Source organism: Homo sapiens, chromosome 6 (genome assembly GCF_000001405.40).
Source record: "Homo sapiens chromosome 6, GRCh38.p14 Primary Assembly".
Lineage (NCBI taxonomy): Eukaryota > Metazoa > Chordata > Mammalia > Primates > Hominidae > Homo > Homo sapiens.
The window spans coordinates 100,222,456-100,229,665 of NC_000006.12; the positions used below are offsets into that span (position 1 = coordinate 100,222,456).

General features: G+C 37.5%; 1 annotated feature.

The window, feature by feature from the left end:
* Positions 6,713–6,802: a silencer, noted in NCBI's record as "silent region_17424". NCBI's record gives its function as "represses an Ori minimal core promoter by ATAC-STARR-seq in GM12878 lymphoblastoid cells {active_cell/tissue: GM12878}" and the evidence as "EXISTENCE:reporter gene assay evidence [ECO:0000049][PMID:35858748]".

Consider the following 7,210-nt stretch of genomic DNA (forward strand, 5'->3'; position numbering starts at 1 on the left):
TCAGCTTCATCCATGTCCCTGCAAAGAACAAGAACTCATTCTTTTTTATGGCTGCATAGTATTCCACGGTGTATATGTGCCACATTTTCTTTATCCAGTCTATCATTGACGGGCATCTGGGTTGGTTCCAAGTCTTTGCTATTGTAAATAGTGCTGCAATATGCATACGTGTACATGTGTCTTTATAGTAGAATAATTCATAATCCTTTGAGTATATACCCAGTAATGGGATTGCTGGGTCAAATGGTATTTCTGGTTCTAGATCCTTAAGGAATCACCACACTGTCTTCCACAATGGTTGAACTAATTTACACTCCCAGCAACAGTGTAAAAGTGTTCCTATTTCTCCTCACCTCCTAGCATCTGTTGATTCCTGATTTTTTAATAATTGCCATTCTAACTGGTGTGAGATGGTATCTCATTGTGGTTTTAATTTGCATTTCTCTAATGACCAGTGATGATGAGCTTTTTTTCATATGATTGTTGGCAGCATAAATGCCCAACCCCATCAAAAAGTGGGCAAAGGATATTAACAGGCACTTCTCAAACTGCATCTTAAAAAAACTTTTGCACAATGCAGCAGGTGGCATGCACGAGAATGTTCACAGCCCAATGTTAAGAGTAGTGAAAGAAAAAATACTTGAAACAACCCAAATATACATCAACAGGAGAACAGATAAATATGTTGTGGTGTGTCCATGCAATGGAATACTCCACATCAGAGAAAAGTTAATAAAACTATGGCTACCATGTGAAGAAGGGTGACTTTAAGAAACATGATGCATGGAAAAATCAAGTTGCAGGCCATATAAGCAATATAGTACCATTTTAAATATTCAAAAACAAAAGAAAAACAATACATTTCTTAGTGTTTCTGTTAGTCAGAATTTTTCAAAGAAACAGAACCAATAGGATATAGGGTCATGTGCTATATAATGACATTTTTTCAATGACATACTACATATAGATTGTTGGTCCCATAAGATTATAATGGAGCTGAAAAATTCATATCACCTACTGACATTGTAGCCATCATAACACCATAGTGCAAGGAGTTATTCATCATTCACATGTTTGTAGTGATGTTGGTATAAACAAACCTGCTGCACTGCCAATTGCCTAACAGTCTAGCACATACAATTATGTATAGTACATGACAGTTGATAATGATCATAAATGACTATGTTACTAATTTATGTATTTACCATATTATACTTTGTATTGTTATTTTAGAGTATACGCCTTCTAATTATTAAAAATAAAAGGTTTACTGTAAAACAGCCTCAAACAGATTCTTCAGGAGGTTTTCCAGAAGAAGGCATTGTTATCATAGGAGATGACAGCTCCCTGAATATTATTTCCCCTGAAAACCTTCTGGTAGGACAAGATGTGGAGGTGGAAGACAGTGATATTTGAAGATCCTGATCCTGTGTAGGCCTAGGCTAATGTATGTGTTTGTGTCTTAGTTTCTAACAAAAAAGTATGAAAAGTAAAAAATAAAATAAAATTTAAAAATAGAAAAGTTTATAGAAAAAGGATATAAAGAAAGAAAACATTTTTGTACAGCTGTACAATGTATTTGTTTTCAGCTAAGTGTTACAAACAGTCAGAAAGTTAAAAAATTTAAAAGTTTCACCATGGAATACTATACAGCCATAAAAAAGGATGAGTTCATGTCCCTTGCAGGGACATGGATGAAACTGGAAACCATCATTCTCAGCAAAGTAATACAAGAAGAGAAAACCAAACACCACATGTTCTCTCTCATAAGTGGGAGCTGACCAATGAGAACACATGGACACAGGGAGGGGAACATCACACACTGGGGCCTGTAGGGGGTTGAGAGGCTGGGAGAGGGATGGCATTAGGAGAAATACCTAATGTAAATGACGAGTTGATGGGTGCAGCAAACTAACATGGCAAAATATACCTATGTAACAAACCTGCATGTTCTGCACATGTACCCCAGAACTTAAAGTAATAATAATAAATAAAAAGTCAGAAAAAAAGTTGCAGTAAGCTAAAATTAATTTATTATTGAGAACAGAAAAATTTTAATGAATTTAGTACAGGCTAAGTTTTCAGTGTTTATAAAGTCTACAGTAGTGTACAGTAATATCTTAGGCCTTCACATTCACTCACCACTCCCTCAACCTCCCGGAATAATTTCTAGTCTTGTAAGCTCCATTCACGGTGACTGCCCTATATAGTTGTGCCATTTTTTATTTTTTATGCTGTATTTTTGATGTACCTTTTCTATGTTTAGATATGATTGAATGCAGAAATATTTATGACTGTATTACAGTTGCCTACAGTATTCAGTACAGTAACATGCTATATAGGCTTATATTCTAGGAGCAATAAGCTATACCATACAGCCTAGGTATGTAATAGGCTATACCTTCTAGGTTTGTGTCAGTACACTCTATGATGTTTGCATAATGCCTAAAATCACCTAATGATGCATTTCTCAGAATGTATCCCTGTCCTTAAGTGATGCATGACTGTATATAGATATATATGAGGATACTTATATCAATTTTTATGTGTTCATAGTATGACATATTTTATATATTTTATTTGTAGCATGTTCATATTATTATATGAATTTGCTCACACAGTTATGAAATCCAAGAGATCACACAATCTGCCATCTGCAAACTGGAGAACGAGGAAAGCCAGTGGCGTAATTCAGTCTAAGTTCAGAGGCCTGGGAAGTGGGGTGTCAATGGTGCAAGGAGCACCAATGTCAGAGGGTGGAAGATGGATGTCACCTCAAGCAGGGAAGGCAAATTTGCCCTTCTTCTGCCTCTTTGTTTCAGTCTTTCAAAGGATTGGTCATTTCCACCCACATTGGTGAGGTAGTTTACTTTACTCAGTCTGCCAATAGAAATGCTAATCTCTTTCAGAAACACCCTCACAGACACATCCAGAAATAATATTTCACCAGCTATATGGATACCTCTTATCCCAGTCAAGTTGAAACTTAAAATTAACCATCAGAGGGATATATACATATATAGTAGAATAGAAAGAGAATGATTTTAAAAATTAGGTTAGTGTGATCTCTTGGGTGGATATATGGGATGCAGAAGAAGTAAGAAGGATGCTTCAACAATATTGATACCGTTCTATTCCTTAAGTTGCATGGTCAGTTCACAGATGTTCATCTTATTATTATGTTTTATAATTTACATATATGTTGCATATATCCTTTTGAAGGTACCAAAAACTTTAGACTTTTAAAATGAGGATAAAAATCAATTAACTTCAGCATATAGGTTAGATCCAAAGTCTCTGCCATAAAATATATGGAAAAAAAAGCAAATCTCAAAATGTAAGAGTGTAAAACGGTCAGTTTAGGATAGTAGGTAAAACTTCTATATAAACTTCAGGTGCTATTTATGATGATCACTGAATAATATTCATAGACTAATGAAACTCTTGCTCCTCTTCAAGGCCAAGGCAAAAATTATAAGTGGGATTCAAAAATATTAGAAAACTCAAAACAAATTGATCAGTGACATGTTTTTAAAAGATTCTGGTTTGTTGGTATTACAGCCCTAACCCCTGTGACAGACATTAACCATCATTATGGCAATTTGTGTAGACAGTAACTGGAAAGGGCTGGAATGACCATAGCTCCCTACTGAGTGTGGAACTTTGTCTTGAGTCAAATGAGGCCCATAATGGATCCCGGCACATAATCACTCAGTAAATATTTATTGTATGAAGGGGAGCAAGTGAAAGTTGCAACTCTTTTTGCTATTTCCTCCCACCTGTCACCCAGTGCAGTAAAGGAACTTCTGGTAGGCTACCTGTGTGAATTGTAGCCTATTGATGCAGTCTACCTATGTGAATTGTAAACTTTACTCTGGAAAGCCAGCTAAAGCAGCCCAAATAGTTCAACTCCTTGTTCAGCATTTCCCTCAAACTTTGCTCCCAGGCAGCCAAGGGCCGCAGGGGAATGAAAAATATTCCTCTCCAGCCTGAGCCCCCAGAAGAAGGAGAAAAAATGCAACATACACTTTGGCAGGTAACTGCTTTCTCCTTCTCCTCAAAAAGAAAGGAGGTGACACATGAAGATAATAGATTATCCCTGTGTGCTATCCCCTAACTAGAATTTTTCTTTTAACTGTAGCAATATATACGTAACATAAAATTTGCTTTATATTATTTACACTGAATGCAACATGTGGCGAAGTATACGTAACATAAAATTTGCTTTATATTATTTACACTGAATGTGACATTCAGTGACTTAAGTACATTTATGTTGTTCAACTATCACTAGAGTTTTTTTCATTTCCCAAACTGAAACTCTGTATAACTCCCCATTTCTCCCTCCCCCCAGCCCCTGGCACCACCATTCTACTTTCTATCTCTAAGAATTTGACTACTCTAGATATCTCATATAAGTAGAATCATACAATATTTGCCCTTTGGTGACTGGCTTATTATACCTGGCGTAAGGTCCTCAAGGTTCATCCATGTTGTAGCATGTGTCAGAATTTCCTTCCTTTTTAAGGCTGAATTCCTTCGTGTGAGTATATGACATTTTGTTTATTTACTCAACCAGCAATAGACAGATTGGGTTGCTTCCACTTTTGGCTATTGTGAATAATACTGCTAGGAACATCTGATCAAGCCCCTGCTTTCAATTTTTTTGGGTATATACCCAGAAGTGAAATTGCTGGATCGTGTGCTAATTCTACTTTTAAAATCTTGAGGATCTTCCACACTGTTTTCCACAGTAGCTGCACCATTTTACACTCCCACCAGCAGTGTAGAAGGTTCCCAATTTCTTTAAATCCTCTCCAACGCTTGTTACTTTTTTTTAAGTGACAACCATCCTAATGGGTATTTAATAAAGTTTTTTTATTAGAATCATTTTTCTTTCTTCTTGTAAGCCACATCACTCATGCATGCTTCAGCTAACCACGCAACCCTGCTTTTTCATCTTCATTAAACATCAGCCTTTCACAGGATAACACTTGAGCTGTCTATTGCAACCAAGTTATAATCCTGCCTACTGGAGCTTTCAAGAATGATACCACTTATGTTTGGGAATGATCCTCTGTGGATGAAAGTAGGCAAAACAACATACCCTTCATTTTCACACTGAAGAAGGTCAACAACAGGCTGTATAAGGTATGGATAAAGCCAAAGGACACTGTAATATTCTACAAAACAATTATCTGCAAACTGATGAGAAGTATCACATTAAATCTTCAGTATCAACTGTCATTAAATTTAACATGGAAATAGGTAAAATGAGACAGTTTAGAAATAAAATTGACTTTTTTTTAAAAAAAGAAACTATGGACTGGAAAGTGTATATACTTTAGATGATGTTCAGAGTGTAATAGATTCTAATGATCTATGTTTGTCAAGTCACTTAACGATTTTGTTTTTGTCCCAAGTGAAATAGTCACAAATCCCCAAATGAATTACTGAATGTGAACAAATTTCTTTTTTGCCTGTTATCATTCGCTTCCTCTTCTCAGTTCTTCCTGCACACCAGCATGTTACTAAATCAGGCACAGTGATAAGCAAGAAGCTTGCCCTCCATTGGTTTCTATCTTAAATAATTACAATCATTATCATCTAGAGCCATACAGCTGGTTCTTGTGGAGAAATGTTTATGATGCTATCTTCAAATTAATAACACTACAGAAGGAGAAGGGTAGAATAATGTCAGAGGCATTAATCAGTAACACTCCAATAAGTGGTTTATAGCATTATAGTCACCTGACTTGCATTTATGAGATGCGGGATATTCTTTTAACTGCTCTGTTTGAGGTTTTTGATGAACATAAGATTAATTAGAAGAGATTTTACTGCTGGTTCAAAGTATGTTGTTCCTCATCATGAATGTAATCATTGATGACTGAAATAACTCATTTTGTAGCAAAATCATATCATTTTGTAGCATGATATGATACACCATATCATATGGTGTAATGATTTAAAAAAGCATTATTTTATCATTACACCATATGCCACTGTAGTTGAGGCTTCGTCAGATTCCAAAGATACGTCATTTATCACAGAACTTCACCCTGAGGTAAACTGTGAGTTGAGATTCTATCAACAATAAACGTGATGACTTCATCGTTTCATTTAAAGAGAAGTAAGCTCTGTGACTGTATATTGCTAGCTTCCTGTACTTTATGCTTCTGTAGGCACAGAAAGTATTTTAAAACGTAGAATGGGGCTTTTCACACAAAGGAGTAACACAAAGGAATAGATCTGAAAGGACTGTCATCTGCGATCACTTCCTACCATCAGTTTTAAGTCAAATGGAAAAAGAGTTCTCATAAAAATGTCACTAGGTACTCTCAATGGCACTGAATTAGCTATTTGGGTACGGAAACGGATGTATTAAAGTATAAAAATTGAAACCCACCAAACGTGTATCAAGTAGGGGAAAATCTGCCTGCGCCCCTAGTGCCCAAAACACTTAACCCTGAAGTACCAGGTGTCCCCAACCGCGGGCAAACCCAATCTTGGTTCACTTTGGCGTCTCGGAACTGACAGGGCTCCGTCAGATCTTCCGTTTCCCTCCTGCGCGTCCGTGATATTGATTGACAGCCTCTCCCCTCCCACCCTCCCTGGCGGCCCAGCCAGGCAGGCTGTTTTGTCAGCTGCTCCGCCCAGGCCGGACGAGGCCGCAGCCTGCCAGCCGGCTCCGGCCTCCACACCGCGGGAGCACGCCCCGCCTCGGCCTCGCCGCCGCTCGGGCTGACACTCTGCCTCCGGGCCCGGGGAGACCTTTCCATCTGCAAATAACACTGGAGAATTCAGACTAATCGGTTCAGCTTCCCTGAGGCAAAGGGGAAAAAAAAATGTTTCTTCAAAGGAAAAGGATTAAGAGGGAAAGTGAGCAAAGGCTTGCCTGGTCTCCACTTAGGGAATCTGAAAGAGCACAATCAATTGAACAAATGCTTCACCTAATCATGGGGAAAGCAGGGTTGGAGAGGAGCTCTGTTTTGTGGGGTTTTGCTCTTGTAAGGTCACTTATGGAATCAGCTAATGGAAACAAGTTCTAAAGACTTAGACGGTGGAGAACATTTTCTTCACTCCACATTGTATTAGGTTGGTGCAAAAGTAATTGCTGTTTTTGCATTACTTTTTAAAAAATGGCAAAAACTGCAATTACTTTTGCACTAACCTGTCTTGTAATTTTTTGTTTTTCTCAAAAGGGTAC